This window comes from Homo sapiens, chromosome 10, assembly GCF_000001405.40.
Source record: "Homo sapiens chromosome 10, GRCh38.p14 Primary Assembly".
Classification (NCBI taxonomy): domain Eukaryota; kingdom Metazoa; phylum Chordata; class Mammalia; order Primates; family Hominidae; genus Homo; species Homo sapiens.
In genome coordinates, this window is record NC_000010.11 from 103,169,106 (window position 1) to 103,186,083 (window position 16,978).

General features: G+C 41.5%; 1 protein-coding gene and 1 pseudogene across 42 annotated transcripts in view; one reads left to right on the forward strand and one right to left on the reverse strand.

Moving 5' to 3' along the window:
- NT5C2 (5'-nucleotidase, cytosolic II) overlaps positions 1–16,978 on the reverse strand; it is a 105,256-nt gene that overhangs the window by 81,089 nt on the left and 7,189 nt on the right. For 20 of the 42 annotated variants that reach the window (XM_047424854.1, XM_047424852.1, XM_047424845.1 and 17 more), the window contains exon 2: positions 5,753–5,877. In XM_047424854.1, the coding sequence (XP_047280810.1) occupies positions 5,753–5,853 (101 nt within the window). In that variant the 5' untranslated portion in view covers positions 5,854–5,877. The other 22 variants (XM_047424856.1, XM_047424853.1, NM_012229.5 and 19 more) reach the window with 5 other exon arrangements.
- Positions 6,268–7,973, forward strand: MARCKSL1P1 (MARCKS like 1 pseudogene 1; annotated as a pseudogene).

A 16,978-nucleotide genomic window follows, 5' to 3' on the forward strand; every position in this document is an offset into this window, starting at 1 on the left:
CTCAAAATTGCAAAGGGATTAGATTTTAAATGTTCTCATCACAAAAAAAAATGATAAATGTAAGAGGTTATGCATGTTAATTGGCTTGATTTAGCCATTCCATATCAACTTGTACACCATAAATACATACAATTTTTGTCAATGTTTAAAAAGACATATACATATACACACACACATATATATATAATGTTTTTATTGTTCTAAAAGCACACATATACTTTATTTTAAACACGGGGCATGGTGGCTCACACTTGTAATCCCAGCACTTTGGAAGGACAAGGCAGGAGGATCACTTGAGAACAAGAGTTCAAGATCAACCTGGGTAACACAGCAAGACTTTGTCTCTACAAAAACAATACAAAGATTAGACAGGTGTAGTGGTACACGCCTGTAGTCCCAGCTATTCAGGAGGCTGAGACAGGAGAATCACTTGACCCCAGGAAGTTAAGGCTATAGTGAGCCATGATCAAGCCACTGCACTCTAGCCTGGGTGACAGAGCAAGACCCTGTCTCAAAAAAAATTATAATAATTTTAAAGCAAATTCTTGCAAGATACCAAGAACCCAAATTTTCTACATTTAATTTTTTTTTCAGGCTGGGAGTGATGGCTCACATCTGTAATTCCAGCACTTTTGGAGGCCGAGGCAGGAGGACTGCTTGCAGCCAGAAGATCAAAACCAGCTTGGACAACATAGTGAGACCACATCTCTAGAAAAAAATTTTTTAAATTACCAAGCATGGCTAGGCATGGTGGCTCACGCCTGTAATCCCAGAACTTTGGGAGGCTGAGGCAGGCGGATCACAAGGTCAGGAGTTCAAGACCAGCCTGGCCAACATGGTGAAACCCAGTCTCTAAAAATACAAAAATTACTTGGGCATGGTGGCGCATGCCTATAATCACAGCTACTCCAGAGGCTGAAGCAGGAGAGTTGCTTGAACCAGACCCAGGAGGCAGAGGTTGCAGTGAGCCAAGATCATGCCACTGCACCCCAACCTGGGCTACAGAGCGAGACTCTGTCTCAAAAAAAATTAATTAATTTAAAAAAATAATAAAAATTACTGAGCACTGTGGTACACACCTGTAGTCCTAGCTACTGGGGAGGCTGTGGCAGGTGGATTGCTTAAGCCCAGAAGTTTGAGGTTACCGTGAACTATGATCACACTACTGCACTGCAGCCTAGGCAACAGAATGAGACCCTGCCTCTTTAAATAACATAGATAAAAAATTTTTTTCAATGATCTAAAACATCAAGCCTTTGAAAATGTTTTTTCTATTGTTTCCAGTACATACACCTTACTATATGAAAGAACGTAGGGTACAGAATCCATCTAAAATATTCCAGGAAATACCATTCCAAATGAGTTAGGAGTATACTCATTCAGGCTATGATACACACACACAAGCACACACACATGCACACTTTTTTTTTTTTTTTTTTTTTGAGACATGCTCTCATTCTGTCACCCAGGCTGGTGGCATGATCTCAGCTCACTACAGCGTCCACCTCTCAGACGCAGGTGATCCTCCCACCTCAGCCTCCCAGGTAGCTGAGTCCACAGGCGTAAGCCACCACACCTGGCTAATTTTTATGTTTTTTTTTTGTAGAGACAGGGTTTCGCCATCTTGCCCAGGCTGGTCTCAAACTCCTGAGCTCAAGGACTCCGCCTGGCTCGGCCTCCCAAAGTGTGTGGACTACAGGCGTGAACCACCATGCCCAGCCTATGATATATATTAAATATAATTAGGATGTTTATTAAATAATGTTTACCAGTCCTCATTTCCACTGCTAAAAATGTTACACCCTAATGTTAATTAATACTTTATAGTGTAAAGACCAAGCAAATAATTGAAGAAAAAGTATAGAACTCCATATAACATAATCTTTTCCAAATGTTATGTTTTATTACATAGACACACATAAATGTTCTGTTTTATACTTTAACACGCCATACCTAGCAACATATCTCACACACAGAAGAGAATCGTTAGTACCCATTTGACAGGAATCTTTAATGTTTTCACTTTTTCAGGGTTTAAGGAGTAACAGCATCCTAACACCCAGAAATGCCACAGTGACCTACCATGAGGCAAATATCACCAGCCTACTTAAAAAACCAACTATTGATATAATAATTAACTTCTGATATACTCAATAACAAGTAACTATATTTTTCAAAATATTAGTATCTATTGAAACAACAAAATATTACCTAATTCTGACTTAGCTTTCCTATACAGAGAAGACTGCACTTAGAAATTTTTTGTCTGCTTACAAAAACTTACCTACATAAACCAGTTTAGCCACTTTTCCAGTAAGATTTCAAAGTAATATTCATTTCCTTTTTCCTGTAGCCCAGAAACAGCTAAGTGATTAAGAGTCATTTTAGACTTCCTGTAGTTCCCATGCAACTTTTTAGCACTGCCAATATACCAGCACCTGTACTTACTGCCGGCTTTCCTGGTGTGGGAGGCAAAGATGGTTCTAGTAGGGCCCAGATTTTTCTACCCCAGAAATTCACTTTAGGTGTAGATTTCTAATTTCTTCTTAAAAATAAATAATTACTAAATACATTATCTACTCCCAAGGACCCTAACTACTTAAGATTTAGGTAGAAGCAAACATTTAATTGAATCTATAAAAAGAGTTAAGTAAAAAGAAAATACAATTTAGGCCGGGCTCAGTGGCTCATGCCTGTAATCCCAGCACTTTGGGAGACCAAGGCTGGAGGAATGCTTGAGCCCAGGCATTTGAGACCAACCTGAGCAACACAGCAAGACCCCGTCTCTAATAAAATAAATTTTTTTTTAAAATACAGGTTAAGGCCGGGAGCAGTGGCTCACGTCTGTAATCCCAGCACTATGGGAGGCCAAGGCAAGTAGATCACCTGATATCAGGAGTTTGTGACCAGCCTGGCAAACACGGTGAAACCCTGTCTCTACTAAAAATTAAAAAATTAGCCAGGTGTGGTGGTGTGTGCCTGTAATCCCAGCTACTCGGGACGGTGAGGCAGGAGAATCGCTTGAACCTGGGAGGCAGAGGTTGCAGTGAGCTGAGACCGCGCCACTGTACTGAGAGACAAGAGCAAAGACTCTGTCTCAAAAAATAAAAAACAAAAATTTAAATACAATTTTAACTTTAAATTTTTTTTTTTTTTTTTGAGACGGAGTCTCGCTCTGTCACCCAGGCTGGAGTGTGCAGTGGTGTGATCGCAGCTCACTGCAAGCTCCGCCTCCTAGGTTCACACCATTCTCCTGCCTCAGCCTCCCGAGTAGCTGGGACTACAGGCACCTGCCACCACACCCGGCTAATTTTTGTATTTTTAGTAGAGACGAGGTTTCACTGTGTTAGCCAGGAAGGTCTCGATCTCCTGACCTTGTGATCCACCCGCCTCGGCCTCCCAAAGTGCTAGGATTACAGGAAAAAAATTTTATTTAAAAATATTTGGGGACCACTCACGGTGGTTCATACCTGCAATCCCAGCAGTTTGGGAGGCTGAGGCGGGTGGATCACTTGAGGCCAGGAGTTCAAGACCAGCCTGGCCAACATGGCGAAACTCCATCTCTACTAAAATTACAAAAATTAGCTGGGCATGGTGGCCACACCTGTAATCCCAGCTACCAGAGAGGCTGAGGCATGAGAATTGCTTGAACCCAGGAGGCAGAGGTTGCAGTGAGCTGAGATCGCATCACTGCATTCCAGCCTGGGCGACAGAATGAACTCTGTCTCAAAAACAAAAACAAAAAAATACAAAAATTAGTCAGGTGCAGTGGCCCACGCCTGTACTCAGCTACTCAGACAGCTGAGGCAGGAGAATTGCTTGAACCCAGGAGGTGGAGATTACAGTGAGCCGAGATCAAGCCACTGGACTTCAGCCTTGGCAACAGAACGAGACTCTGTCTCAAAACAAAACAAAACAAAATCTGTAGAGTTGGGGTCTCATCATATTGCCCAGGCTGTTCTCAAACTCCTGGGTTCAAGCAATCCTCCTGCTTTGGTCTACCAAAGTGCTGGGATTACAGATGCGAGCCACCATGCCTGGCCTACACTTTTAAAGAAAAAGTGATTTCGAGAAAATATTACAGTCTAAAATCAAAACAAGGAAACTTTGCTAATACCCAGAGTTACCCACATTCAATCTAACACACAGTAGCCAGCAGACACAATTTTTAAATTCTGTTTAAAAATTACAGTCAGTTTGTGGTAAATATCAATTAATAATTTCATTCTTGGCCAGGCGCGGTGGCTCACGCCTGTAATCCCAGCACTTTGGGAGGCTGAGGTGGGCGGATCACAAGAAGAGTAGATCAAGACCATCCTGGCTAACACAGTGAAACCCCATCTCTACCAAAAATACAAAAAATTAGCTGGGCATGGTGGCGGGCACCTGTAGTCCCAGCTACTTGGGAGGCTGAGGCAGGAGAATGGCGTGGACCCGGGAGACGGAGCCTGCAGTGAGATCGTGCTACTGCACTCCAGCCTGGGCCAGGGAGCGAGACGCCGTCTCAAAAAAAAAAAAAAAAAAAAGAATTTCATTCTTGGCCGGGCGCAGTGGCTCACACCTGTAATCTCAGCACTTTGGGAGGCCGAGGCAGGTGGATCACGAGGTCTGGAGTTCAAAACCAGCCTGGCCAAGATGGTGAAACCCTGTCACTACTAAAAAAAAAAAAATAAGTAAATAAATAAAAAATACAAGAATTTCATTCCTGGGCTGGGTGCGGTGGCTCACGCCTGTAATCCTAGCACTCTAGGATGCCGAGGCAGGTGGATCACCTGAGGTCAGGAGTTCAAGACCAGCCTGGCTAACACGGTGAAACCCTGTCTCTACTAAAAATACAAAAATTAGCCAGCCGTGGTGACGCACGCCTGTAATCCCAGCTACTTGGGAGGCTGAGGCAGGAGAACCGCTTGAACCCAGGAGGTGGAGGTTGCAGTGAGCTGAGATCATGCCACTGCATTCCAGCCTAGGCGACAGAGCCAGACTCCGTCTCAAAAAAAAAAAAAAAAAAAATTCATTCTTGGCAGGGTGTGGTGGCTCAAGCCTATAATCCCAGCACTTCGGGAGGCTGAGGTGGGGAGATCACTTGAGGCCAGGAGTTCAAGATCACCCTGGCCAACATGGCAAAACCCTGTCTCTACCAAAACTACAAAAATTAGTTTGGCATGGGGCCATGCCTGTAATCCCAGCTACTGGGGAAGTTGAGGCATGAGAATTGCTTGAAGCCAGAAGGCAGAGGTTGCAGTGAACTGAGACTGCACCACTGCACTCCAGCCTAGGCAACAGAGTGAGACTCTGTCTCAAAAAAGAAAACAAAAACTAGCTGGGTGCAGTAGCCCACACCTGTAGTCTCAGCTACTCAGGAGGCTGAGGCAAGAGAATTGCTTGAGCCTGGGAGGTGAAGGTTACAGTTAGCCAAGATTGCGCCATTGTACTCCAGCCTGGGCAACAGAGCAAGACTCTGTCCATCCAGCACTCCCTCAAAAAAAGAAAGAAAAAAAAATTTTTATTAACTTAGGTGCAATTTTCTAGCAACCAAAGACATTTTTCTCTTAAATACTTTTACTAGTAGATACACAAAGCAGTATGGTGTACTAGTAGTTAAAAGTCTCGACTTAGAACTAGATTTGTACCATGTACTAGACATACGATCTGGGTTATTTACTTAACCTCTCTGTACATTAATTTCATCATCTGTAAAATGAAGTCCCACTTCATAGAGGGGTTTTGAGGATTAAATAGACAAAATACTTACCGATGATAGGCTTCTCGACGATACTTTTTCAGGGCATGCTTATCCATGTTAGCAGGCATATCTGCTGCATTCTGTAACCGATCACTCCAGGAGGTTGACATTTTATTTTAACTGTATTTTGTATTCTAGAAAAGAAAATCATTAATTTAGTAACTTAATATTGGCATCTGTATACTGACATCTGATTTTTTTAAAAATCAGAAAAACTCCAGCTTGCAAACTGCCTAATATAATTACCTATTAAAACACACTGAATACAGTAAATATGCTGAAAATTATACTGACACTTCTCAATAATCTAAAGTTGGAAAAATAATTTCATATGGTAATTTCAATCCGGAAAGATAACATATACTTCCAAATAATTAAGCATGGCTGCCAGTAATTACTCTAATCCTAGATTCTAGAAAAGGCACTAAAACCACAGCACAGCAGTTTGTGAAGATATATAATTTTAAGTTGATGTATGTTTTTAAAATGTGTGTAGTAGGCAAATTTTAAATTCTAATCAACAGATTCTGGTGTGGAGTAGAACAGTAGCAGGCACAGCTAGCGGGTTGGAATGGGGGTACAGCTCGTTTCCCCATTCCCGTAAGACGCCAGCCCCACCCCTCTGCCTGCCCAGCCAACCCCGCTGTACTACCCCAAGGTGTGAGTCTGGGTTGGATACTGGCTACCCCCCAGCAGACCCCCATCATAGGCAGCCAGAGCTCCAAGGCTCCTCGGAAGACGTGACCACCAAGGTTGCGGCAGGTGCTTCCCCTGCAAAGGCCAACGGACAAGACGATGGCCACGTGAAAAGCAATGAAGACTTATCTCCCAAGGGTGAAGGAGTGTTGCCTCTGTGAACAGAACACATGAGGCAGCCGGGGCCACTGGCGATGCCATTGAGCCAGCATCCCCTATCCAGGGTGCTGAGGCCAAGGGGGCAGTCTCCCCTAATAAGTTCTCTCTCAAGAAGTCTTTCAAATTCAGCAGGCTGCTCTTCCACAAAAATTGGAAGGAGGACGGGGGCAGTTCTTCTGCCTCTCAGCCAGAGGAAATGCAGGAGCAAGGTGCCTGTAGCAACAAGGGCACTGCCCAGGAAAGGAAGGCTGCTGCTACCCCTGAGAGCCAGGAGCCCCAAGCCAAGGGGGCAGAGGGTAATGCTGCCTCAGAAGAAGCCCCAGGCTACAGAGACATCCACTCCCTTGGGGCAGAGAGTGGCCCTATACCAGGCAGTGCTGAGCAGAATGAGGAGCTAGGTGGGGGCAGCAAAAACCGTGCTGTCCTTGTGAGGTCATTGCCTGGACCTGGTGCCCTGACTGCCTTCCTGTGCCCAGAAAGGAAGGGGCTATTGCCTCCTGCCAGCCACATTCCCTTTTCCCCTCTCCCTCCTGTGGATTCTCCCATCAGCGATCTGGTTTTCCTCTTAAGGCCAGCTGAAGATAGGCCCTGATAGCTCCCCAGGTTAGGTCACTGATGTAAAATGCTCCTCGCCTTGGCCCTACCTCCCTCCCTGTCCCCACCCCTGCAGAAGGCAACTGTTGGTTTTCTTCCTCGATTCTTTTCCAAGTAGGTTTTGTTTACCCTACTCCCCAAATCCCTGAGCCAGAAGTGTGGTGCTTATACTCCCAAACATTGCATACCCAGCCTCCCGCCGTTGAGTTTTAGTCTCTTGTGCTGTGTCTGCTGGCACTTGGGCTGAAAAGGCCACTGCCTCATCTAGGTTTTTGGTTTGTTTTTGAAACAGGGTCGCAGTGGCGTGATCTCTGCTCACTGCATCCCAGGCTCAAGCCATCTTCCCAACTCAGCTTCCCTAGTAGCTGGGACCACAGGCAGAGACCGGGGCGAGGGGGTCTCTACAAAAAGTGTTGGCCAGGCTGGTCTCGAACTCCTGGGTTCAAGCAATCTGCTCACCTCAATCTCCCAAAGTGCTGGGATTACAGTTGGGAGCCACCCGCCGGCCTCCATCTAGGTTTTCATAAATATCTTACTCATGTGGAAACCTCCAGCTTGTACATCAAATGTGTCTCTTTTTTTGACTTGGTAAGAAAGCATTAGGCTTTGGGGTTGGGGTAGGTCTGTAATGTGAAACAACTTGTCTTTTCTTCTCCCATTGTTATAAAACTTTTAATGGCCAAACCTCAGATTTGTACTTTTTTTTTTTAAGCTGCTAAAACCATTCTCTTCCACCTGGTTTTACTGTAACATTTGAAAAGGAAAAAATGTCATCCCTTTAAAAGATAAATAAATACATTTTGATAACATACTAAGCTCAGTCAATGGTGGCACAAATACAAGCAATAAATATTTGATTTCTAGTTATTTAATGCTTTTACATTTTTCTGTAATAACTTATTTTCAGCTGGCAATAAAGACTATGAACAAAAAGAAGGAATAAACTAAAACATTCCATCTAATTAGGATAAGCATCTAAAATGAGGTGGGCAGCTTAAGTGTTTTTAACTACTTTTACATTAGGCTATTCTTAGGTTTCACTTCTGTTTTTGAAGTTTTCATCAGTAAGTAGTTTCAAATAAGGATGAAAAATATCCTCTTAGAGTTAAGTAGTAGATTAATATTTTATAAAAATAGCATTATTTGTGAAAACATCTGTAGCCTGTTATTTCCCATCTTGAAAATGCTAACATCGTTTATGACATGAAGTCAATATATACCTCCCTTCCTCTCTCCCTTCTTCTGAGACAGGGTCTCACTGTTGCCCAGGCTGGAGTGCAGTGACATGATCATAGCTCACTGTAACCCTGAACTCCTGGACTCAAGTGATCCTTCCACCTCAGGCTCCAGAACAGCTAGAAATACAGGTACTCACTACAAAACCCAGCTAATTATTATTTTTTTTAATTTGTGTACAGACAGGGTCTCATTATGTTGTCCAGGCTAAGTCTTTTTTATATAAATCACCTCTGTGGCTTTTAAAAAAATAATTTATTCAGGGGAAATTCACATAAAATTGGCCACTTTAAAGTGAACAAGTTGGTGGCATTTAGTGCAACCACCAACTCCTTTTAGTGTCAAAATACTTCCATGACTCTAAAGTAAAACCCCTCATCCATTAAGCAGTTTCTTCCCACTATGCCCTCTACCCAGCCCCTGGCAACAACCAATCTGGACTCTGTCTCTGGATTTAACTATCCTGGATATTTCATATAAATGGAATCATACAACATGTGACCTTTTGTGTCTGCCTTCTTTCAGTTGGCATAGTATTTTCAAAGCTCATCCATGTAGTATCACATATCACATTTCATTCTTTCTAATGACTGAATAATAATCCACTGTGCAGGCGCAACTGGCTCTCCTTTTGTGGAAAAGTGAACTTAATCCACACGTCTCATCATATACAAAATTTAAGATGGATCATAGACCTAAACGTAATATCTAAAACTATAAAACTTGTACACAGACCAGGCGCAGTGGCTCATGCCTATAATCCCATCACTTTGGGAGGCCAAAGTGGGTGGATCACTTGAGCTCAAGAGTTTGAAAGCCTGGGCAACATGGCAAAAACCCATCTCTACAAAATATACAAAAATTAGTTGGGCATGGTGGTCCGTATCTGTAGTCCCAGCTACTTGGGAGGCTGAGGCAGGAGTATCACTTGAGCCCAGCAGAGGTTGCAGTGAGGCGGAGGTTGAAGCAGAGCTTGCAGTGAGCTGATTATGCCACTGCGCTCCAGCCTCAGTGACAGAGGAAGACCTGTGGCTCATGCCTGTAATCCCAGCACTTTGGGAGGCTAAGGAGGGTGGATCACGAGGTCAAGAGATGGAGACCATCTTGGCCATCATGGTGAAACCCCGTCTCTACTAAATACAAAAAATTAGCTGGGCATGGTGGCACGCATCTGTAATCCCAGCTACTCAGGTGGCTGACGCAGGAGAATCGCTTTCACCTGGGAGGTGGAGGTTGCAATGAGCTGAGCCGAGATCACACCACTACACTCCAGCCTGGGCAACAAGATCAAGACTGTCTCAAAAAAAAAAAAAAAAGACAAGCAAGCAACCCTTGGGGTTGCTCTGTAAACAGAGTGGTCATTCCTCTGTTTCCTCTACGTTTTCTCTGTATTCCTCTACGTTTTCTTTTTTCTTTTTTTCTTTTTTTTTTTTGAGATAGAGTCTTGCTCTGTCACCCAGGCTGGAGTGCAGTGATGCGATCTTGGCTCACTGCAACCTCCACCTCCCAGGTTCAAGCGATTCTCCTGCCTCAGCCTCCTGAGTAACTGGGATTACAGGCACGCACCACCTTGCCCGGCTAATTTTTGTATTTTTAGTACAGACGGAGTTTCACCATGTTGGTCAGGCTGGTGCCAAACTCCTGACCTCATGATCTGCCCACCTTGGCCTTCCAAAGTGCTGGGATTACAGGTGTGAGCCACTGTGCCCAGCCTCCTCTACTTCCTTAATAAACTTGCTTTCACTTTACTTTATGGACTCGCCCTAAATTCTTTATTACATCAGATCCAAGAACCCTCTCTTGGGGTCTGGATCAGGACCCCTTTCCAGTAACAATACTGTAGGTAGGAAAACCATGGAAGGCCTCTTTGAGGAGGTAATATTTGTTCAGAGACCTGAGTAAAGTAAAGGAGTGATATACAAAATAAAACAAACAGCAACTGCATATACACAAACAACAACTGCACCCAAGTAGCTGGGATTACAGGTGCACACCACCATGCCCGGCTAATTTTTTGTATTTAGTAACACAGTGGTTTGCAACTATACTCCCAGCTACTTGGGAGGCTGAGACAGGAGGATCGCTTTGAGCCCAGGAGTTTGAGGCTGCAGTGAGCTATAATCACACCACTGCACTTCAGCCTGGGTGACAGAGTGAGACCCAATCTCTAAACAAAAAAATAAAACAAACAATAAACCAACCTACTACAGGGTTGGCATATAACATCATATTAATCTGTTTTGCATATTATGGTTTATATGCATATGCAAAAGATTTAGAATATTTTATTCTCTTAGAAGGTTAGATTATCTCTGCAACCTTGTTTGTATACTTAATTTAAGTCCCTCTTCATGGCTAACAGAGGACTTAAAAAACTAAAACAAAATTGCATTTATATATTATCCTTCCATTAGAGTATTGAGAGGAAAAAGACAAGCTATGGTTTGGGACAAAATATTTGCAAACACACATCTGACAAAAGGACTTGTATCCAGAATATAGGAAGAGCTCTCAAAATGCAATAATAAGCTAAATAATCCAATTAAAATACAGGCAAAACATATGCATAGACATTTCATCAAAGAATATATACAAATGGCAAATAAGCATATGAAGTGATGTTTAACATCATTTGTCACTAGGGAAATACAAATTAAAAACACAATAAGATACCAAAATATGCCTATTTGAATATTTAAAATTAAAAAGACAGTATCAAATGTTGTTGAGAATGTAGAGCAACCTGAATTCTACTACACTGCTGGAAAGAAAATAAAAAAGGCACAAGCACTCTGGAAAAGTTTGCCATTTCTTTAAAACTTAAACATATATCTATCATATGTCCCAGACTTTCTAATTGTAAGTAATTGTCCAAGAGAAATTAAAGCACATATCCATATAAAGACTTGAACACAGGCTTGGGCACAGTGGCTCACACCTCTAATCCCAACACTTTGGGAGGCCAAGATGGGTGGATTGCTTGAACCCAGGAGTTCAAGAGCAGCCTGGGCAACATGGCAAAATGCAGTCTTTACGAAAATTGAAAAATTAGTTGGGCATGGTAGCACATGCCTGTAGTCCCAGCTACTTGGGAGGATCACACGAGCCCAAGAGGTTGAGGCTACAGTGAGCCAAGATTGTCTCGTGCCACTGCACTCCAGCCTGGGCGACAGAGATCCTGTCTCAAAAGAAAAAAAAAAACTTATACACAAATGTTCTTAGCAGCTTTGTAATGGCCAGAAACTACAAACAACCCAAATGTTATCCACAAGTAAATGGATAAAAAAAATTATGGTACATCTGTACAATGTAATACTACTATGCAATATAAAGGAATAAAGTATTTACATGCAAAACATTAAAAAATTCGTAATAACTACACTGAGTGAAAGAAGACAAAAAGAGTACATAGTGTATGATTCCGTATATATAAAATCCTAGAAAATGCACACTAATCTGACAGAACACAGACCAGTGGTTCCCTGGGGTAAGGAGGTCAAGTACGGAGAGGAGGAGGTATTACAAAGGAGCCCAGGAAAACTTTTGGGGAGAAGGGGTGATACGTTCAATATCTTCATTATGGTGATGGTTTCATGGGTACATATATATATGTTAAAATTTATTATATACTCTGTGCAACTTATTGTATACCAATTATGCCACAATAAGACTTTTTCAGCCAGTGGCAGTGGCTCACACTTGTAATCCCAGAACTTTGGGAGGCCGAGGCGAATGGATCACTTGACGTCAGGAGATCACATCACTGTACTCCAGCCTGGGCAGCAGAGCGAAACTCTGTCTCAAAAAAAAAAAAAATAATAATTCACAGGCAAAACATGCACAGTCCCCTTCACCACTACCATCACCCTCCCCCAAAGAAAGGAAAACAGCTGCTCCAACAGCTCTAGGCAACTGCTGAAAACAGGAAGCAAAGAGCAACTGAAACTGTAGGGTAAGCCTGGTTAGCAATCTGCACTGAATATTCTTTCCTTCAAAATGGTGTGCCAATAAAATGCTGATAGCCACATATAGTAAGACCACTATCTTTAAACTACAATGAAAGGAAATTTTGTCCCTCCCATAATTACCTCATTACTTAACATAATGTTAAGAAAAGTTCAAGAATTATGATGTAGTACAGTAATATTCTTCACGCCCAAACTGATAAAAGTATAAAAATAGCAGTAAAGGCCTGGCGTGGTGGCTCACGCCTGTAATCCTGGCACTTTGGGAGGCCAAGGTGGGTGGATCATTTGAGGTCAGGAGTTCGAGACCAGCCTGGCCAACATGATGAAACCCTGTCTCTACTAAAAACGGAAAAAAATCAGCCAGGCGTGGTGGCGTATCCCTGTAGTCCCAGCTACTCGAGAAGCTGAGGCAGGAGAATTGCTTCTCCCACCCGGGAGGCGGAGGTTGAAGTGAGCTGAGACTGCGCCACTGCACTCCAGCCTGGGCAACAGAGCGAGACTCTATCTCAAAAAAAAAAAAAAGAAAAAATAGCAGTCAGCACTTCTTTTCATGACAATTCTGCATTAAGACAAAATGCCACGCTGCTAGAGTTATACATTGGCAAACGCTCTTTAAAAAGTCATTTTACATGTCTGTTTCAAGTCAGGTCAGTAATTCATTTGGAATAAAGTGAGGAGCACTTTAACAATATGTAGAGCAGGTCTATCAGGCAGTGTTTAACACATGGCAATTTGAATCAAATATTCATTTTTCAATGGAATAAGTATGTCAACATAGATAATAGGGTAATAATAGCAGTATGAATAATCAGTAGTTTCTACTTCACTCAAATTTTAATTTTGTATTTAAAATACAAAACCTGGGTGGCTCACACCTGTAATCCCAGCACTTTGGGAAGCCGAGGCGGGTGGATCATCTGAGGTCAGGAGTTCAAGACCAGCCTGGCCAACATGGTGAAACCCTGTCTACTAAAAATATAAAAAGTAGCCAGGCGTGGTGGCAGGCACCCATAATCCCAGCAACTTGGGAGGGTGAGGCAGGAGAATCACTTGAACCCAGGAGGCAGAGCTTGCAGTGAGCCGAGATCCCGCCACTGTACTCTAGCCTGGGTGACAGAGCAAGACTCCATCTCAAAAAAAAAAAACTAAACTTGGCATTTTTAAGTTTTATAATCAACCATTCATTCTCATTCTAAGAACACTGCCCTAAAACTTACATGGAAAGGATAATTTTGAATAATTTCTTCAAATTTTCTCACCAGCCTGAAACTTATTTTGGTCTCTAAATACAACAACTTTCACTGCATATTACTCATGTTAAACTAGTTTATGGAAAAACAAAAGTTAAAGCTATATCCTCCATTTGTATGCCTCATATTGTACTAAATAGCCACATTTTATTCAGTCTTTGATAACCCTAGTCCTTGGCAGATAAGCAAGTAAAATCAATAACCTATAGTAGTTAGACATTTGGTTTTATCATTATATTGTGCTTAAGGGCCTCTCTGTAACATAGCCACAGACCAACTTACTTACAAATACATCCCCTTAAAAACATGGAAAGTCAGATGCAAGTTTACTTTAATTCATCTACCAGTACTGCTGAAAAACTAAATCCTCATATTTGTAGTTAACAGTGTCACCTATAACTCAAAGAATAGCACTGTGAAATAAGCTATAGCTTTTTTAAGTATTTTGTAACCTTTACTCCTTATCATCACAAAACACATGAAAGGAGATATATATATATGTGTGTGTGTGATATATATATATATATATATATATATATATATCACACACTCCTTCCCTCCCCTCTTTCCTGAAATTATTAGCTTTTTTTTTTTTTTTTTAACAATCTATCCCTCCTTCTTGGAATTACTAGTTTTAAACTGTTCTTTAATAACTCTAATGAATTTTGAAAAATTCCTGCCCCAAATCCCTCTCAATATTGCCTCTGCATCATTCTTCCTTTCTTTTCTTCTACTGCAAAAATAATTAAACAAATGCTTTTTTTTTTTTTTTTTTTTAAAGACGAAGTCTCTTTCGCTCTGTCTTCCAGGCTGGAGTACAGTGGCACCATCTCAGCTCACTGCAAGCTCTGCCTCCTGGGTTCACGCCATATATATATATATACATATACATACACACATACACACACACATATATATATACTTTAAGTGGGGGTGGGAGGAGGGTGAGGGATGAGAAATTACCTGATGAGTACAATGTACACTATTCAGGTGATGGTTACACTAAAAAGCCAGACCACTGCTATGCTATATATCCAAAACTGTACCCCCTAAATCTATAAAAATTAAAAAATAAAATAGTTTAAGATGAAGAAATGCCTATTTTTCCAGAAGGCTCCTTGAAACTGTTGCATTTAAATTATCTTAAATGTTTCATTACCTCTCATCTTTTAAATAGTTCATGATAAGTTTTTGGTTTTTTTTTTTTTTAGTTTTTTTGAGACAGAGTTTCACTCTTGTTGCCCAGGCTGGAGTGCAATGACGCGATCTCGGCTCAATGCAACCTCCGCCTCCCAGATTCAAGCGATTCTCCTGCGTCAGCCTCCCAAGTAGCTGGGATTACAGGCATGAGCCACCACGCCCGGCTAATTTTGTATTTTTAGTACAGACGGGGTTTCACCGTGTTGGTTAGGCTGGTCTCGAATTCCTGACCTCAAGTGATCCACCTGCCTCCCAAAGTGCTGGAATTACAGGAATGTGCCACCGTGCCCAGCCTATAAACAAGTTTTTTTGTTTATTTTTCATTTCATTATTTTCATTCAGAGTTCTTTATGTCACTTGTCCCAAACTGCACTACACATTCCTGTCAAAGGCCAACACTCAATAGTTCACACACCAAAGTGATGCCAACAGTTAACAAACTCCAACTAATAACATCACACTTACCCACACACATCACTCACTGTCCTCTTACCCTGCTTTACTTGTTTTTTGCACATAACCCTTACATTTGACAGTTTGCATTCTGTCAATCTCTCCAAAATATAAGCTCCATAAGGGAGAGGAGTGTTTTATTTGCTGCTGTATCCCCAGCATCTCGCACAGTAGACTTAACAGACAGAAATAAATGAACCATTAAACGTCTACACATGGAGCCCTTTGCTTTTCAGAAGCCTATTTTTGTGTAAGCCTGAAAATGCAAGAATAACTGCAGAAGTCCCTTTTAATACTCTAAATGAATCTTTGTGAAATCTTATTCTTGGTTCACAAATACATAAGATTCTTGGCTTGATTAACATAATATTTTGCTAACATTTCAACATCAGGCCTCGGAACAAAAGCTTCCTTGTTCTCCGAAGGAAAAATAACAAAGTTGAGAAGAGAGAACTTGTCGAGTGAGAAATGCAGTACCTGTTGCCTTGACAATTTGTTTTTCTTCTTCAAGCAGCTACATGCTCCTATCTGTAGTCTGAAATTGTAACTAGAAACTACAAATTTATTTCATCTGTTCCTAAACTTTTGAAAATATACAAAAAAGACTAATTTTGCTATGTTCTCATCAACATTCTATTGCTACTATCCTGCCATATCACATAGAATGCTATATATTTGTTCTACATCAACACATTAAGGCTGCTTCTAACTGAATGTTTTGAATAATACCGGACCTTCAACAATAACATGGTTATTGACACAAAGGAACAAGAGAGCATGTAAGGAAAACATTTTAAAAGACTGAGCTATTTCTTCAAAACGTTGCCATAATTAACTGAGGTCTTCAAAAGCATAAAGGTATAAACCAGCTGTACAATTTTTACATTCAGACGATATATAATACTTTGCACCTTTAGTAATGACTCCTGAATACTCCTTTAAAAAAAAAAAATACATAGGGCAAGGTGCAGTGGCTCACACCTATAATCCCACCACTCTGGGAGGCCAAGCCAGGCGGATCCCTTGAGCCTAGGAGTTCGAGACCAGCCTAAGCAACATGGCAAAACCCCCATCTCTATAAAAACATGCAAAAATTAGACAGGCATGGTGACGGGTGCCTGTAGACCCAGCTACTCGGGAGGCTGAGGTAGGAAGATTGCTTGAGCCGGGAAGGCAGAGATTGCGTGAGCCAAGATCGCACCACTGCACACTCCAGCCTGGACAACAGACAAAGACCCTGTCTCCAAAAAAAAAAAAAAGGAAAAAAAAAAAAAAGCAGGTAAAAAACTGCTTTATTTCAGGAAAGAACTCATTCTCTTACCAATGAACTCCTGCTCACCATTCAACTTTGGTTTAGCTCTTATTTTTCCTGTTACAAAATAATTTAAAAAGATAAAATCGGAAAGGCATAAATAACCACAGACCACAGTATTTCTACCTTTTAATATATAAATTCATACTTAAGGTTTAGTCCACCTATTTGGTTAAAATTCAGAGATATGCATGAGTTCGATGCCTTAATAATGCTAACATAATAACAGCTGACATTTATTGAGTACTTACTATTTTTCATGTATGATTCTAAGCAGCATAGTACATATTTTAACTCACTGACTTTTCAGAACAACCCTATATGTTAGGTACTATTATCCTCATTTTACGAAGAAGTAAACAGGAAA